General features: G+C 39.3%; 1 protein-coding gene across 4 annotated transcripts in view; it reads left to right on the forward strand.

The window, feature by feature from the left end:
• EGF (epidermal growth factor) overlaps positions 2,941–19,055 on the forward strand; it is a 100,884-nt gene continuing 84,769 nt past the window's right edge. For all 4 annotated transcript variants that reach the window (NM_001963.6, NM_001178130.3, NM_001178131.3 and 1 more), the window contains exon 1: positions 2,941–3,520. In NM_001963.6, coding sequence (NP_001954.2) covers positions 3,394–3,520 — 127 coding nt within the window. In that variant the 5' untranslated portion in view covers positions 2,941–3,393. The remainder of the gene's footprint in view (positions 3,521–19,055) is intronic.

Consider the following 19,055-nt stretch of genomic DNA (forward strand, 5'->3'; position numbering starts at 1 on the left):
TTCCCTAAACCTTTACATTTTTAGAAACTAAAATACCTGGGAGAATGATGAGGAGACATGCTGTAATTAAGGAAGTAATCTGTTGATGGTGTGGCGGTGGCAATGATTAGTAAGAGGTGCTGAGCACAGTAAATACATAACCCAGGAGAACTAGGTGCCCTGTGTTTCAATGAGGAAATTTCATCGGAAAAGTTAGAATTTTATGACAAGCACACATAAACATATGTCCCAATAGTCCCTTCCAGCTATTGCTGTCCACTCACACTTATAACCATTCAGAGCTATCTCCTTGCTATTAATGTCTAACTTTCTTACTGACCTACCAGCAGGGTTTCCCCCACCCAGCTGTGTCCCTTCAGGATCTAAGGAACTATTAAATAAGAAAAAAAATTTTTGTCCATTCCTGTTCCACATCCTGTCAGCATGACCCTTCTCCTTCTCTATGTCCTTCTGAGGCATCCTAATTACTCCACAGAGCTTCACACTGCATGCTGTAGTCCAAAGTACATTGCAGCTCCCCTCCTTCTTTCCTGACACCCAGTTTGTGACCAGTCATGTACTTGGTGGCTGGTCATTCATTAGCTCATACTCATACTCTCTGTTGTTGCTGTTAATCAACCTCAGCAAGCTCTTGATGTTAAGGACTACGACTTCTGTTTCTTGTACTCCAGGCAGTGCTCTATCATATATAGCTGTTTAATTAACGAATGAATTAGTTAACTTTAACTCAATTCCAGAAATTAAATCATATTTGGCAGCTCAAACCTATAAGTTATAGTGCATTTCTTATCAATTTTAAAATAAAGAGTTTATTTCAACCTTTCTTGAGTGCAAGAAAGGTTCAGTTTTATCCAGAAGTAGGAACATAAACTTATTATTTATTTATTTATTTATTTTTTTGAGATAGAGTCTTGCTCTGTCACCCAGGCTGGAGTGCAGTGGCGTGTTATCGGCTCACTGCAACCTCCGCCTCCTGGGTTCAAGCAATTCTCCTGCCTCAGCCTCATGAGTAGCTGGGACTATAGGCATGTGCCACCACGCCTGGCTAACTTTTTGTATTTTTAGTAGAGATGGGGTTTCACCGTGTTAGCCAGGATGGTCTAGATCTCCTGAAGTGTGATCTGCCCACCTTGGCCTCCCAAAGTGCTGGGATTACAGGCATGAGCCACCACGCCCGGCTGGAATATAAACTTATTAAATATCTCTGTAAATCCTTCCCAGTTGGGTAGCTCTGTCCTATGATTTTGCTATCTGGGCAACTGTAGATGATGAATTAGCTGCGATTGATTTTCATCATCAGTCATCAGCCATAGCATCTGCTATACCTCTGTTGACTCCGTCATCTCCTAGGGAGCTTGTACTCAACATTAATGACAACATTAGCCCAGGTGACATGTAATTAAGAAAGCAAACCTTTTTCCAACCAAAAATAATATGAGAGATTCCAAATCCAAACAGAACAGAGCTGTGGATCATTTCATGTTTGTCTTCATATCATTCTCTCCACTCCACTCCACTGACACAGCGTGATGCTTGATTGTCCTCTAAGCCCCTTCCATTGCTGTCATCTGGGATGCTGGCAATGTATTGTGCTGAAAGGGAAGCTTATTAATAAAGTTAGTAACTCGAAGAGTCAGTGCAGGTTATTTGTAGGATGCTCATTATGAGTCTTGAGTCTGACTCAGTCCAGAAAGCAATGGAATATTCCGCATAACCACCTAAAGGACTTCTCTTTCCCCCTTCCCCAGGGTCTGTTTCTCCTGTAAGGGTTCAGAGCTGCCTGGCAGAGGCTGGCTGAAATAGGAGAAATCCTGACTTAAGCTGTTTCAGGAAAGTGATCCAGTCTTTGGAGAATAATCAGGACATAATTAAGTATGAGTAAAAGGCTTAGAGTTAGTCTGTTCTCCTCTGTAATGGGGTGTTCACTAGTGTGACAGTTGTTTTTGTGACTATTGCTTTTACGTACATTTTTGACCAGCACTTGGAACACTACCTCAGGGTAACTTAAATGAAAGTCCATTTTCCAGGATGGAGTAAACTGACAGAAATTTCCATCGTGCATCAAATCTGCTATAAGTTGTTTGCCTTCTGGGTATTTTTGGGCCCTAGTTGTACTCCTGAAGAAATAACCACTGTTGCTCCAAGTAGAAAGTGGTTGAGGAGACAGCTAACAGATACGTCCAGTTCTTATTTTCTATCACAGAGATGTGAAAAAAAAAAAGCCTAAATTATCTTAGAAGGAAAAGCATTCCTCTGTGCTGGATTTCCAGTGCTTCCCAGCTTTGCACTGTTAGCTTATTTTTTCCAATGTCCCTATAATAACAATCCACTCCTTTCTCTGCACTCCTGGCCCCTCGTGATGTTTTATCATGCTCATGCTGAAAGAAAAGGTGTCTGTCCATACTGTATCTCTTCATTTGGCCTCAGGGATTTCCCTTTGATTTGGAAAGAATAATCTTTCAAATTCCGCTATAAACTATACAGGAGAAAGAGAAAAATAAGATAAAGCTCCTGGAATGTGCACTGGTATTGACATTTCGTTCAAATAATGGGCTGAAGGTGAACTATCTTTACTATTGCTCATGTGAATGATCAATTATTATCAATCCAAACTATCAACAGTGCTGCTTATTATTGATTTATACTGCATGGTTTAATTTTGTCTCCATCCTTCCAGACATTAAAACATAGCCAATATTTAGCAGTTCCCGCCATTCACCATGAGCACCTCCACAGCCCCCAACTCCTCTCTCCCAGTTCTGCCCAGGATATTTATGGTGAGTAGCGAGTTATCTCCTCTTTGGCAGTCATCCCTGCTTTCCTGTGTGGAGGAATTGCCCACATTCGCATTTGCAAACAGAGGCTCACTCAAGTGTCACTAAAGGAAAGGAGGTGGAGCCTGAAGAGCTTTAAAAAGCAAAGCTGAGTCATTCCACTTTTCAAAAAGAGAAACTGTTGGGAGAGGAATCGTATCTCCATATTTCTTCTTTCAGCCCCAATCCAAGGGTTGTAGCTGGAACTTTCCATCAGTTCTTCCTTTCTTTTTCCTCTCTAAGCCTTTGCCTTGCTCTGTCACAGTGAAGTCAGCCAGAGCAGGGCTGTTAAACTCTGTGAAATTTGTCATAAGGGTGTCAGGTATTTCTTACTGGCTTCCAAAGAAACATAGATAAAGAAATCTTTCCTGTGGCTTCCCTTGGCAGGCTGCATTCAGAAGGTCTCTCAGTTGAAGAAAGAGCTTGGAGGACAACAGCACAACAGGAGAGTAAAAGATGCCCCAGGGCTGAGGCCTCCGCTCAGGCAGCCGCATCTGGGGTCAATCATACTCACCTTGCCCGGGCCATGCTCCAGCAAAATCAAGCTGTTTTCTTTTGAAAGTTCAAACTCATCAAGATTATGCTGCTCACTCTTATCATTCTGTTGCCAGTAGTTTCAAAATTTAGTTTTGTTAGTCTCTCAGCACCGCAGCACTGGAGCTGTCCTGAAGGTACTCTCGCAGGAAATGGGAATTCTACTTGTGTGGGTAAGTACTCCAATGAAAAGGTGCTCCAGGTCTCCGGGAAACTGCCCCCACATCCCTGTTGGTTCAATCTGGTATACTTGGGCATTTAACAAAGTTTGTCTTTGGGTATGTATAGTTGCTTAATTTTTGTTTTCTGATGCATGTTTATTTTCTTACTGGCCATTAGAGCTAATCTGCTACCAACTATAAAACTTCATAACTCTCAAACTGTACTTCTGTGTATAAGTGAATGAATATGCCTCATTTTAAACTAGCAGAACATTTCATGGAAGCTTCAGCTTTTACTCTGACAAGAGGAGTAATTAACACCTGGCTAATTGCTTGGAAATTAGGGAAACAGATGGTTGATTTTTTGTTTGTCTGTTTGAAACTCTTAAGCCACAAAGAAAAAAATCCTTCCTTCTGATAACTTGTAAGAATTCAGAAGTTCTAAAAATTAGTGAAAAATGGAAAGGGAACTGTGAACAAAGGTAGTTGTGAAAATTAACCTAAATTTCAATTTCAACCTCCTTCACTTTCTCCCCACTCTTACTGTTTCTGAGGCTCTGACACAACTCCGGAGTTTTAGTAACAGGTGCATTGCAACTTTAAGAACTGCCAAATATGATAATGGGTAAATAAGCCACACTGTCCTCTCATATTAAATGAATTTTTTGCCAAGGGGAAATGGGAGCTTGACTGAATGCGAATTACAATCCTGCCAAAGGATATTGCCTGAAAAACATTCTCTCTCTAACTGTTAATTCATTTATTTAATCCTTGGGTGAGCCTCCAACCTGCTGCTTAGACACGGCAGCCGCCTTTGTTGATGAGAGGTTATAGCTGCCCCGACATTCCATTTTTATCAGCTTGCCCTTTTGAGATGGCGTCTGGCTTTTAAAAAGAGGTAGATTGAGGGGGAAAACACAGTACAGTTTCCAGAAGAGACACCTATGGAAGACAGTACACAATAGGCAATAGTTTGAATAAAGAGAGCAGAATGGAGCCAAACTGCCAAAGCTAGGCTGCTGTCCTGGCTCTCCCATTAAGGAAGTTCCCGATGAGGAAATCAGGTGCTTTTGCTCAGAATCTCTGGACTCTGTTCTCAGGTAGCACTCCTTGTAACAGGTGAGCAGAACTCTAGGGTATTTGAAATAAAGACTTAATCCTAGTGATCTCTATGTTCCCAGCACCTAGGACATTCCTGCTTCCACAGTGTGTACTCAGCAAATTCTTGTGTATGAATGAGGCGTCTTTCTCTGATCTGCTAATGACATAGTCCTAGAGAACAGCAACAAAAAGAGGGTGACAAATGACAAAAATGGCCCCATGAACCTCAGACTCAGCTGTTGGAGACAGAAGTAAAACTTCTGTATACAGTTATGTCAAATGGACTGGACTCTCTTTGGGGTGGGAGAATTTTCCGTGGAGTAGTTGGCAAATATCTAGAGTTGGGCACTGTCATTTGCATGGGATGTGAGGGGTGATGGTTGGGCCGATCTATCAGGCAGCCAGAAGCTAGGAAAGAAGAACCCAGGTTGCTGAAGCAGAACCCAAGAAATTACAAAAATGAGCTTTTATGGATGGCTCTAGGATCTCAGAATAGTCTGATTCCTGCTGGCAAGCAAGTCTATGCCTTGTTTTCCTTGCCACCTCTGGTGGCTCAGAAGTGCCTTCATTGAGGTAGGTTGTACCCAATAAACATGAAACCCAGGATAGAAACAATAAGTTGGGGAGACTGTGTCACAGAGTGGAAGGAACCACAGGTTTTAGAAACAAACAAGCCTCATTTCATATCCATGCTACCAACTTAATAGCTGAGTTACTTTAGAGTATCTCTGGGAAATAATACCCTCGCCCACTGCTTTTAGGATTTTTTTGTGGGGAATCACATGAGATAACCTAGCATGTACCAAAGCATGGTGCTTAGCAGAGTATGCTCAATAAATGTCCTCCTGGGCTCCACGTCTTGGCTAAATCTCTGATCAAGTCATACGATGAGATGCCGTATTTGAACAGTGCAGTGACACGGCACAGATCCATGGAGTGTGGAATGTGTGGATGGCACTTTGGGATTCCCTGCCTCTCTGCTACCTCATTTCTTGCAAGTCACTGGTTTAAATCCCGTACTTTACGCTCCTGGTCTCATGTTAGCTGATAACTGCCTGGGTCACCCTTTGTCAGTCACTGTGTGCATTTCAGAGGATAGTATTTCTTTCTCCTCTCTAAATAGATATGGTGCCATCATCTATTTTTCCCTCATTTAAATTCTACTTGCCTTATTTCTTGCCCTTGGCATTGAGACAGATCACCTCTGCAGCCACCTGACCCAGCAGGAAGAATGCTTTATGGTCTAACAGTATTCAGGTAAACTTATGCAAGATTGTTACTCATGTGACTGCTAGCCGGATAAACCAAGTGATAGCAACACAATTAGGTTTCTTTCTATTCCCCTCCCTCTCCCTCCTTTTAACTGAGTATTCTGTTAGCGTCTACTTGAGCTACAGCAGGTGAGGACAGCAGGAAAGAAAACTGCTGGCAAGTGGTTTCTGAACCTTCAAGTCTATTTACCCTGGAGGACAAATAACAGTTGAAAAAGAAATTGTTCCTGTTTGGCTTCTGTACCTGCATTATTTATATGAACTTTTTTGGTAATAAAGGGTAAGGAAGAAGTACAGCCTCCCAGCTGCGGGAGGGATCCTGGGGTGGCACTAAGTTATCACTTTTAGTAGTAAACAGTGAAATCAGTGATTTCAGTACCGGCTAAGGCGTGGTCAGCATCCCAGTCATGTGCAAACCAGAGTAATTCTGAGACCAGAAGCTTGTCTGTTTTTTCAGCCAGGGTTATGCGATTTTTTTTCTTTTTTTCTAACAGCAGTGAAACTAACCTCCAAATATTCAGTGGTGTTTGGTCATTGAGCTTAGTGGTAAAGAAGCATAAATTTTGGAGACAGATTTCTTGCCTGGATTCAAATCCCATTTCTGCTGCTTGTGAACTGTTTGTCTCATTTTCCTTACCCTAAAATGAAGATAATTGTACCCTCTTCCGAGGACTCTTGTCAGTATTGCGTTAATGTATTCATTTTCAGTGCTGGCTGTGCATTAGAATCACTAATGTCTGGGTGGCCACCCCGGGCAGTCTGGATCAGAGTCTCTTCTGGGAGTGGAATCTAGGCCTTATTTTTTTTTAATGTGGTGATTCTAACCAACAGCCTGGGTTAGAACCACTGAGTTAATATATGTAAAGTGCACAAAACAGAGCTTGGCATACAATAAACACTCGATAAGCCCGAGATTCTATTAATGTTTTGTTGTTTTAAAAATTATTTTTATGAATGTAATGGTATTTTCTAAATGTGGCTTGGTTTCGCCTATAATCATCGAACATTTTTTATACATGACAAAATGCCATAGTGAAAAACCCAATAATAGTTCTACAACATTAAAAATTATAGTCAAAATAATTTAAAAATACATAACTCATATTTTTGTAATCAGAAGAAATGTTTATTAAAAATACAAGAACATGTCAACTTGATTTGAGTAAGTACCTTTGTGAAACTGTGGCTCTGGTGTTTGTCTTTTTCTTATACCAACTGATAAAAAATTTCATTCATTGCAAATTAACTCTGTTCGTCGGGTTTCTTACCGGTAATAATCTTATTTTAACAGCAGCAAAAACAAGCCACTTGAAAGTGATAGCGATTATTTCAGTTTTTTGCATATTTTTGCCCATGTGTGGAACCCTTCCCTTGTGGATTTTTAAAGCTATTAAAAGCATATAAAAATGGTAAATTAGTTTTCTCAGTTAATTTACATTTTGGGGCTAATTTGAGCTTGTCAAAATATTTGACATTCAATTTAGAAGTTGCTTGTGTTCATGGTAGAGCAAGTAATTGATTGTTTCTATCAAAAGTAAACAGACTAATAATTTGGCTCAAGCAAATTAAAAACCTTACTTTATAATTTACAAATCTGCCTTTATGAAAATCCATTTCAAATTATTCCTTGGGTAGTATGGTTGGTTGGAGGTTTTTTAGCTTTTAGTTTTTGTCTTTTTTTTTTAATTTCAATTTTTACTTTACATTCAGGTGTACATGTGGAGGTTTGTTACAAGGGGATATTGTGTGATGGTGAGGTTTGGGCTTCTATTGATCCCATGTGATCAGTTGGTTTTTTATTTTTATTTTTATTTTTTGAGACAGGTTTTGCTCTGTCGCCCAGGCTGGAGTACAGTGGCATGATCTTGGCTCACTGCAACCTCCGCCTCCCAGGTTCAAGCAATTCTCCTGTCTCAGCCTCCTGAGTAGTTGGGATTACAGGCATATGCCACCACACCTGCTAATTTTTGTATTTTTAGTAGAGATGGGGTTTCATCATGTTGGCCAGGCTGGTCTCGAACTCCTGACCTCAAGTGATCAGCCCACCTCAGCCTCCCAAAGTGCTGGGATTACAGGCATGAGCCACCACGACTGGCCTCAGTTGGTTTATTAAATCAGTACTCTCCAGACTCCGTTCCATCAGTAAAATAATTAAAATGTAAGCATATGCTTCTAATAAACACATTTACTTATCAATTACATACATGTAATATGTACACTGTACACATGAACATGTGTATGTAATGAACATTACACAACAAATAACGTATCTAATATTTTCTTTCTACACAATAGCAAACCATCTTACATAGCCTCTATGTGATATACACCCTCCTTGGAAGATAGTTTTAGAAAATAAGTGAAATGGTAGAATAAACGTTTACCTTTTCTTCACTATAAGCTCTGTTCCTTTCTCTTGATTGCTAGGTGTGGTTTTTTTTTTTTTTTTAAATTTCAAGTAAAGGTGGGTTATTCATAGCGAATGACTTTTCTCAGAGTGTGTAATGGTAGAAACAGAAATGCGTGTGGTTGTGCTGAGATTCTTCCGGAAGGAGTGGAAGGCCAGATGATGTTCCTGAGGGGGACCTGGAGTTTGAGAAATGCCCAAGTCCTGTGGCTTGCTGGGCTCAGCATCTATTTAAATTAAAGTGACCTGCACCTCTATCATATGTTCCAGGAAACCCAATGTCTCTCTCCTCTGTCTTGGAAGATGCTGGAGGTGGGGGCTGTGATGAGGAAGGCAAGGCTATGTGTCCCTTCTGGGCCTCCTACTGAATGATTCATCTACTGTGTGTCTCACTGCCCTCATGTACTGTCCCTTTCCCATACTTCACCACCTCACACCAGCCACCACCCTGTCTCACTTACTTCTTGAAAGAACGAGGAAACAATTGTTATGAGCTGTGAGGGGACAGACTTTACCTGAAGGTTTGCTGTTGGGAGGGTTGGGGCAAGGGCAGGGGCTGCTTACATCCCAGCGCTTCCAACAACAAAGTAAAACATTTTTCATTCCTGTTCCTAAAAGTGACACAAGGTCATCTGTGGAAGGGACTTGCCAGACATCTCTTTTTCTTGGGCCTTAGTCTTCCACCACATGAGCGAAACCCTCTTTCTCCCACAGTGATACTGACCTGCACCTTGGCCGCTTTCCTGGGCCTCCTTAATCTACTTCAGACCATCCATATCCTTCTGCAGAACATTTTAGATTTCTTCTTCCTCCAATTTTGCTTTTCTGATCATATCCGAGACTTGCCTTTTTAAATGAAAATAACTTCAAAAACTATTAAATAGTGAGCTGATGTGTTTTGCTAAACAAAAACAGTTGTGTACTCCTTTGAGAATTTCTGGCTCCTGATTTCAAAGTAATCATTTTTCTTTTCCTTCTACAATGGGAGATGTTAATTTTGAGACAGAAGTGAAGATTCTTGTAGGCAGTCCCAGGTATTAGGAATGCATGCTTCTCTGTCTCTCTCTCTCTCTCTCTCTCTCTCTCTCTCTCTCTCTCTCTCTCTCTCTCTCATCTCTCTCTCTCTCTCATCTCTCTCTCCCTCTGTCTGTATCTCTCTCTGTCCTGTATTCTGAGTCTGGGAAGGGACTACTGCACTTTGGGGCTGGGGAGTGCCTTTACTTTGGCTTGATGGACATAAGTCATAAGTAAGGCAGGGCACTGACTTGAAAAGAGACTTTAACAGGTCTGGTCATGGCCAGTGATTGTGAGTTATACTATAGGTTGTCCTCCTCCCCTCTCCACAATTCTTAAAGAGGACTTCAGTAAAAGTTAGACATTGATCTCACTTGTGCTCAGGTGAAATGGTACATGAGTGACAGGTAGGGGGGAACTACTTCCAGGAGCACTGTGGCCTCACATTGGTGTGGCCAGAGATCAAGGAGATCAGAGGAGAGCTCTTGATGGGGTAAGGATGAGAGAGGTAGGCCCCGGAATCTCTCAGAAAGGTCTAGGATGGAAAGATTTTAAAGAAGGCTAATTTCCAGCAATTTGCTTGTGGTGGCATGGTCCAAAAAATTTCACTATAAAAAAGAAATGTGCCCTTATTTAGTAGTTACTGACTGGACAGGTCAAGTGTAAACGATACACATCTGTAAATAGAGAAGTATGCTCAGAATATTCCCTAGTCAGTCAGTGGTCTGCTATTGGGAGCATCAAATAGTTTGGCTTGTGAATCAGTACAATGTCTTTTATTTTTATCGTTGATGCATAGGTTTCATTTAACAAATTCATATAGATGAATTTATAAGTTGTTTTTTAATCCATACAGAGTTAAAAAGTCAAACATTGAACCTCAGATGAAAGGTAACAAAGATTTCTTACCTGGAAAATAAGTCTTCTAAAATCTGTTCGAAGTCCTTAAACTTTTTGTCACTTTGATTACAATAGAGGAAACTCGGAGAACCTAGCAACTTTCCAATGTAAATTGCCTGATCTAAGCTATTTTAGCAATTATTGTACAGAAGTAGTTTTTATAAACTTATTGCAAACAAAACAATTAAAGACTCAATAACTATCCTCAATAGCTGGAAATGACTGCATTGGAGAGCGTTTTCAAAATAGTCAGTTTTTAAGAAACAAATCACTTTATCTCACTGGTGTGGCCAGAGGTCGAGGAGAACAGGGGAGAGCACTTGATGGGGCGAGGAGAAGAGAGGCAGGCCCTGGAATCTCTCAGAAAGGTCTAGGTCAGTTTTAAAGAAAGAAATCACGTTCTTTTAAAGGATTCCTAAATCTTTTTCAAGAAATTTTAAATTCCAGGAAGCAGTTTAGTGCTTAGTTTAATTATTACTCCAAATTTGGGCCATCCTAGAGCTAGTAAACAAAATATTAGTCTTATTATGTTATAGTTTCTCATGTGAGAATTAGAATTAACTTTAAGAAAGAACCAGAAACAACAACAGCAACTACAGAGATCCTGACCATTGGAATGTAATTGTCCCCATTGTCTATTTACTTCTTGCCTACAGGCCAGCGCTTTCCTCCAGAATGCTAATATTGTTCACCATGAAGGAAGTATTGCCTAGATATTAGGTGAACTAAGAACTAGATTCACTTTGTAGAGATTCTTTATTACCACTGAGGTGGTTGTGCACACGGCCATCCCAGGCCCTTCCCAGATGTCCTGTTTGCTGGGGCTCATGACAAGATGACTGAGAGTCAGGTCTGGAAGGATGAATACTATTATTGCCAGGTGTAGACGAAGAAAAAATTTCACTGAACAGAAGGGATCTTTACACTTCTTGAAAGATCTTACTATCTCTGAAAATGTTTTACTCTCTTGTTTTATATGGCCAAAGTTAATAACTTCCAAAGGCAATTGTGGAATAATGCTTGTCAATATGTCTTTCTTTAGGAGATGTTCTATTTCTTAAGAGCATCTTCCAGAGCTTTCTTCTCAATTCTGGGAATTAGCAAATGTATAGAAACTTCAGTTGTTTTAGCCAAATACAAGGCAGAAACTTCTACTCTCATCACCTGTTGACCTCCTTGCTAAGTCTGGAATCTGAATTGGTGTGAGCATCTGTTTTTTTTTTTATTCTGACTTGATTTTCTGATTCTCCCAAGTTGACCAAACATACTAATGCCTCTCACTGTCTGGGTTTCCCAAGTATTTCCCAGGACATTCAGTACACTGGAATTTGTGTGTGTGTGTGAAGGTATTTGAGAGCCAGCCAACTGCTGTGACAGTGATTCATGGTAGGCACTAATTTATTTGCAAAGCTTCTTCCCAGTGATGTAAGAGTCCTTTTGGAGAAAAGCACTGCCTCCTTCCTCCATTCAGACTAACTTCCCAGGGTGCTATGGACCAGCTTTGTGTGCAGTAAGGGAATTACATCCATGAGGTGGTTCTTTCTGTGGGTAGGTGGTTGCTAGGATACAGATAGTCACAACAGCATCACGGCAGCTGCCTTGTTCTTCAGCACATGGTGTATCAGTTGAGAAATAGTGTTTTATTTCATTCACTCCAACACTTTTCTGGTTAAAATTTTAAAAGCTTGAAGGAGGATCTTTCTTTTTCACACACACCATTCTTGTATAAACAGGTCAAAAACAGATTAGTCAAACTGAACATTGTCATAATACATGCCGGTTGACACCAATCCTCTGCTCTTCCAGCCCAGGCCTTCCCTTACGAGGTTTAAAAACATGCTGAAGGGTTGAAGCTACCAAGGGTCTTCTGGTGTTTTTCTCCCTTCCTCTGAAGTGCATAATTATTCTGTTTACTGGAAGATTTTCAACACAAAGGAAATTAACTTCTCCTTGGTGTGCAAGGAAATTGCAAAGGTTATTGTCATTAATGTTAATTTACCCACTATATCTTTTAGATTCAAGCAACATTGTTTAGAATGGTCAATGCTCTAAGTGGATCAAAAGGCTTATTATTTTTTGGAAGACAAATTTGAAAAACCTGCTGGAACTTTTATCTCTCCTGGTTACTCTAATGAATCATGGCAAAGATTTCATGTAAGTGGGAAAAAATGAGGTATTTGAAGAAAAATGTTCATCTAGGATTTCAATCCATTAAAAAGCACACAATCATGGACACCTACCTACAAGAGGATAAGTGACTGTCTTTCAATACTGACATGTTGTCTTCTGAGACAGGAGCTAATAGAAATATATAGCGCATGACATCCTCTTTAACATGAGCTATGTTGACACATATGAAGTTACTGGGTTTATTACTTCCAAGAGAGGCAGTGCCATTTTCAAACAAAGGATACATTTTAAGCAGAGTGAATTCTGGTTGGTTCTTTATACAGTGGGTTGATCTTGTCACACAGGCAAAAATGGAGCAGTTTTGGGCAGATGGTTCTAGTGTTACGCTTGCTTGTTGCCTTACTTTGCAAGAAGAAGTTCTCTCATCTTTGGTCAACGCCCTATGTCTGGCATGTCATGTTAGGCCTCAGCTTTTGAAATTGATAGGGTCTAATTCTGGAGCTGATATAAGCTGTTAATACCTACCTCTTAGATTGCTATGAGTACTAAATGGATTAATTCTTGTAAAATGCTTAGAATCTTAGCTGACGCAGTGAGTTATCAGCAAATATTGGCTATTACTCTCTACCAAAAACCATAAATGAGACATATTAGAAACATTTTCTATAATTTTTATAATACCTGTTTCTTCAAATTTTCAACAATGCTTAGAGAAGTCGGTTTCCTGGGATGAGCTAAGTCCTAAAAACTATCTTAACCAGCAGGTTCTTTGTGATTTTTAAAAATTATCCTTTTTATTATCCTAACATGTGACAAAACTCCCCATTAATTATTTTTTTTAAATAGTTAATCTTGCTATTTGTTACATATGTCTTCAAGAGAATTATATAAAATATTTTTTATGTATATTTATATAGCTGTACCTATAGGTATATATGTATATAGGTAAGGCCCAGAACTTAATGACCAGTGTAGGATTAATGAGAACAGTGAAACTGGGCTCAGGAAATAGCAATACGCCAACACTTCTTAATTTTACCTCATTTTTGTCTATTTGTCTAGAACACTCAGGATATAGTATCTATAGGCAAATATTTATGTGTTTATCCTTGCAATTTGAGAAACTAAATTTAAAGCTGGTTAAAAAAGAGAGAAGATAATTGTATTCAGTATAAATGAGACTTACACCAAATTTTGTACCTCCAATAAATTTGTTATAGATTTAATCAGTAGATTAATTTTTAGAATTCCTTTAGAAAGTTGAGTGTTTAGTGTCACTTAGGGGGAAGTTATTTAAGTTATTGTTTTACTTCATTTAGTAGGACTCATGATGACATATTTTAAAATTATTTTTATTATTTTTTGAGACAGGGTCTCACTCTTGTCACCCAGGCTGGAGGGCAATGGCACAATCAAAGCACACTGCAGCCTTGACTTCCTGAGCTCAGGTGATGCTTCCACATCAGCTTCCTAAGTAGCTGGAACTACAGGTGTACGCCAGCACACCCAACTAGTTTCTGTATTTTTAGTAGAGACAGGATTTCGCCATGTTGCCCAGGCTGGTCTTGAACTCCTGGGCCCAAGAGAGCCACCCACCTTGGCCTCCCAAAGTGCTGGGATTATAGGTGTGAGCCACCACGCCTGGCCTATGACACTTTATTGATTTCATATTTGAAGTTCCAAGAAACAAAGAAGGAAACAATTCACAGAAAGTAGAGGTTAAGGTGAATAATATTTATGTAGGAATTTACTACAAGTTTAAGCCTCCTTGCCAAAGTGCCACAAAAAAGAAAGTTATTGAATTTTTTAGTGCATATAGAATATGAATTAAATTGATAAATGTCAGATTACGAAGGACCTTCAAGATCATTTAGCCCAACTGCTTCTTATTATGGATGAGAGGCTGAGATCTAGACAGATGAAGTAGCTTCTCAGGTCCTATGAGAATATAGCTCAGGACCCTAGACTCTTATTCTGTGAAATTTACAATGCACATGACACCTCCCAAGACTGATTGTTGAAAGTCCATCAATGTAATGATTTTATTAGTTCTTTCTACCAAAAAAAATTAATAGTTTTAAGTCGGTTTAGGAAAACTTCCTTAATATATCTAGTTCTCTATGTTGAAAGCACTTTGAAAGTAGGATTGAATAAATGAAATTTCCTTTTATATAAATTACATCCATGAATTAACTCAAATCAAGTCAGCAAGTATTTATTGGATGCTAGGTGCTTGGGCTGACAGTGGAGACATCACTGATCCACATACACAGGGATTCCTGACAGGGCAATGGGGCTCCAGAGCTCAGTCAGCAGTTTACCTGATGACTTACAGATCCTCTTATTTGGTTTTATCAAAACTAACCCTTACAAAATTCAACAAGTGGCTCAGACGCCTTCCTACAAAGAAACTAAAGATTGCAGACAACACTAATATTGCAAACCTAAGAGAATAATGAGGAAAGGGCAGTCTTGACACCTTTCTTATTCCTAGGATGAGCTTTTTGTTGGCTACGTAAGAGCTGAAAGCAACGTAAATCTCCATAGATCTGACCAAAAAAAGTTAAAAAGAGAAATTAACAAGAAGACAGCCTGAAAAATGGATTTACAATTGTTATTATTAGCGACGAACCTCACAAAAACTGTAAAGTGTACCTGGGAAGATGTTAGCTAGTGGTAACATGAAGCCATCAGGACAAGCAAGATATTTGTAAATGAGTATCCAGGATCTGAAAATGATTTTTTATAATTTTTACAGTTGTGTTCAAAGTTATGATAGTTAAGAAGACTCTATTTACTAAGCTTAATGAAAAAAGTCAGAAGCCTCTCTTGAGGTTTCTTACATTACGGCAAAAGAGGAAAAGCCTGATATTATTGGTGAAACACTTGTTCTTCCTGCTTCCTGTTGTGGTAAAATATTGCTAAAATAATACATGAAAAACCACATGACAACAAATTAAAATGTGTTCCTTTGTAAACAAATACTGCTGAAAACTGTACAGAAAGAATCAATGAAAATGTGATGAAGTAAGTACTAAGCAATTATACTGTTGAATGGAAGTAAAGGTGTTTCTAATATATCACAGCGTATGGTTGTTTTCTAGAAAGTAATAGCCAAAATTTACTGGGAACTCACTATGTGTCAGACAAGATTCTAAGCACTTTACATGAATTACTTTACTTATTCTTTTTAACAATCTCTGAGGTAAGTATTACTATTATTCCCATTTTATTTTTGCAGATGAAGAAACCAAGACACGGAGAGGTTAAGTCATGTGCTGAAGGCCACACTGTCAATAGTATTGGAGCCAATAAAGAGTCAACATGAGTACTCCGTCTCCAATGCCAGTAATCTTAGCCACTATCATAATTACCTCAACAATGAAATGCTCAGAGAACTGTAATTCTTTTCTATGAGAGAGTAAGGGAAAAATGCAACAGAAAAGAAATTTTCTCAGTGAAAGTTCTCAGAAGTCAGAAATGACTTTTTTATATATCAGAAAATGTTCTATGAAAAAAATGGTATAAGTGTATTCAGCAGTGGTACACCCACTGCATTTACTAGGACATCAACCAAAAAGCATTCTTGGTGAGATCACAGAGAACACCACAGCCTTCACAGCAAGACGTGTGGCAAAGAAGTTGAAACTGGAATTGCATCAAGCATTATGGAACATCATTGATGTAGTTATTCCTATAAAACAAGACTAGTCTCTTTATAATACTTTGTACTGGATGGGGAGTAATCATAAAAATCTTTGTCTTACATACTTCCCACAAAGTATCTTGAAGCAAAGCACTTAATAGAACAGTCAAATGTCACATGTCACAAAACGTCAAATGTCACAAGCAGGAGGATTGCTTGAGGCCAGAGTTTGTGACCAGCCTAGGCAACATAGGAGACCCTATCTCTACAAATAACTTAAAAACTTAGCTGGGCATGGTGGTATGTGACTGTAGTCTTGGCTTTTCGGAAGGCTGAGGCGGGAGGATCTCTTGAGCCCAGGAGTTCAAGGCTGCAGTGAGCTAGGATTGTGCTACTGCACTCCAGCCTGGGCAACAGAGTGAGACACTGTCTTTTTTTTTTTTTTTTTTTTCCGAGACGGAGTCTCTCTCTGTCGCCCAAGCTGGAGTGCAGTGGCGCGATCTCGTCTCACTGCAAGCTCCACCTCTCGGGTTCACGCCATTCTCCTGCCTCAGCCTCCCGAGTAGCTGGGACTACAGGCGCCCGCCACCACACCCGGCTAATTTTTTTTTGTATTTTTAGTAGAGACGGGGTTTCACCGAGTTAGCCAGGATGGTCTCGATCTCCTGACCTCGTGGTCCGCCTGCCTCGGACTCCCAAAGTGCTGGGATTACTGGCGTGAGCCACTGCACTCGGCCGTGACACCGTCTTTAAAAGAAGAAAAAGAAAAGGACAAGTGTTTAACAATTTTTGGCTTTTTAAAAATTTTTGTGATTACAGATAGATGTCAGTAGTATGCTACCCAAAAAGTAACTAAAACAACAAAACTTTATCCAAGTTATAGGTGATGTTTTAACAAGTGAGAAAGTGACCACTAATTATAAGAAATTTGTGTAGGAAGAGAGCAGTTTGAAGATAGATGTTGGAGATGTTTCCATTGTTATGTGATTTTATTGTTGAATCAATGCCAATATGTCACCTGTTAAAAATTCTTGTGTCTGCGCTTTTAAAACATTTACAAACAGCTTTCTAAGCTATTTTAAAAAAATCTTCCAAATACAGAGTTTTTGTCTTTTTAAATCCACTTGTTAAAAACGTAAAATGCAATACCTTCTGGTTAGTTTTCATTTACTGTTTAAAATCTAGAAAGATAGAAATTTGCTGGTCTAATTCAACAAAATTTGTGAATAATCGAGGGATGTAATTAAAAAGTAAATTTTGTGATTTTGTAAATACAGCCAATGATGCATTTATTTCATCTGATGTAGACATAATTGTGAAAAATTATTTTTGTTTAAAAAAGCTGTCAAAAACCAAATATCAAAACATGTTGATCTTTAAACTAGATTTTTTATCAAATTCAAGCTTTTCAGTAAATGCAAACTAATCAGAAGGTGTTATGTAATCTCAATTTTTAACATGCGGGGGGACTTTTGGGACTGTGGGGCATTCCTAACTGGAGATGTCCACCAAAGACATGTCCAGGCCGGGCGCAGTGGCTCATGCCTGTAATCCTAGCACTTTGAGAGGCCGAGGCAGGCGGATCACGAGGTCAGGAGATTGAGACCATCCTGGCTAACACAGTGAAACCCCGTCTCTACTAAAAACACAAAAAATTAGTTGGGCGTGGTGGCGGGCGCTTGTGGTCCCAGCTACTCGGGAGGCTGAGGCAGGAGAATAGCGCGAACCCGGGAGGCAGAGTTTGCAGTGAGAGGAGATTGTGCCACTGCACTCCAGCCTGGGCGACAGAGAGAGACACCGTCTCAAAAAAAAAAAAAAAAAAGACATGTCCAAAAGTAGATGCAAAACTCAGTAGACAGATCAGGATAGTGATTTCTGAATTTTGCCGTGTGTGTGTGTGTGTGTGTGTGTGTGTGTGTGTGTGTGTGTGAAACATTTGGAAAAACTTTTCTAATGCTTTAATGTTGGTAAATTCATTTTAGTCTAGTAATGGTAGACTTTAAATAAAATTGAGCATAATTTGTGTTGAAAAGCTGAGGGGTGTTTAAACTTACTTAAGGTGAAGGATTACCTATAGCATAGGAACATTATAACGGTTCACTGTTCTGCAAAACTGAATTATTATGAGTTTTAAAAGTTATAATGAGCTGTAGTATTGGATAAGGGATAGACACATAAATTAATAGAACAGAAGAGAAAGTTCAGAAACGGACTCACACAAGTACACTCATTTGATATTTAACAAAGATGTTAAAGCAATTTAATGGTGAAAGGCCAGTCTTTTTCAACAAAGGGTGTTGGACCAATTAGACATCTATAAGCAAAATAATAAACATCAATCAATACATGCAAGATATACATTAGTTTGATCAGGAAACGAGGGACAACTCAAAGAGTAGGGTAAGGTGGGGTTAGGTTCCAGGTCACAGAAAGTTTTTCAAAGATTTTCTGATTGGCAATTAATTAAAAGACTTATCATCTAAGGACCTGGAATCAGTAGAAAGGAATGTCTGGGTTAAGATAAGGGGTTGTGGAGACCAAGGTTTTATTATGCAGATGAAACCTCCAGACAGCAGGCTTCAGAGCTCTTATAAGATCTAAAAAGGTGCCAGACTCTTAGTTAATTCTCTCCTGGGTCGGGGGAAAGGCCTAGAAATGAATGGGGATTACCTGCAGAATGTAGATTTTCCCAACGAGAGACAGCTTTGCAGGACCATTTCAAAACATGTCAAAGAAATATATTTTGGGATAAAATATTTTGATTTCTTTCAGGGTCTGCTATTTGTCGTGTGATGCTATACTAGAGTCAGTCTGGAATTTGGTTGTCCTATTGCTACAAAAAGTCTGTTTTGTCAATCTTAAGATCTTTCTTTTAATGTTAATGCTGGTCAGCTGTGCCTGAATTCCAACGGGAGGAGGGTGTAATAAGGCATGTCCCACCCTCACTTCCCATCATGGCCTGAACTAGTTTTTCAGGTTGACTTTGAAATGCCCTTGGCTGAGAGGAGGGGTCTATTCAGTTGGTTGGGAGGCTTAGAATTTTATTTTTTGTTTACAAATGCAATATATTATAGAAGT

The sequence above is a fragment of the Homo sapiens genome, chromosome 4 (genome assembly GCF_000001405.40).
Source record: "Homo sapiens chromosome 4, GRCh38.p14 Primary Assembly".
NCBI lineage: Eukaryota > Metazoa > Chordata > Mammalia > Primates > Hominidae > Homo > Homo sapiens.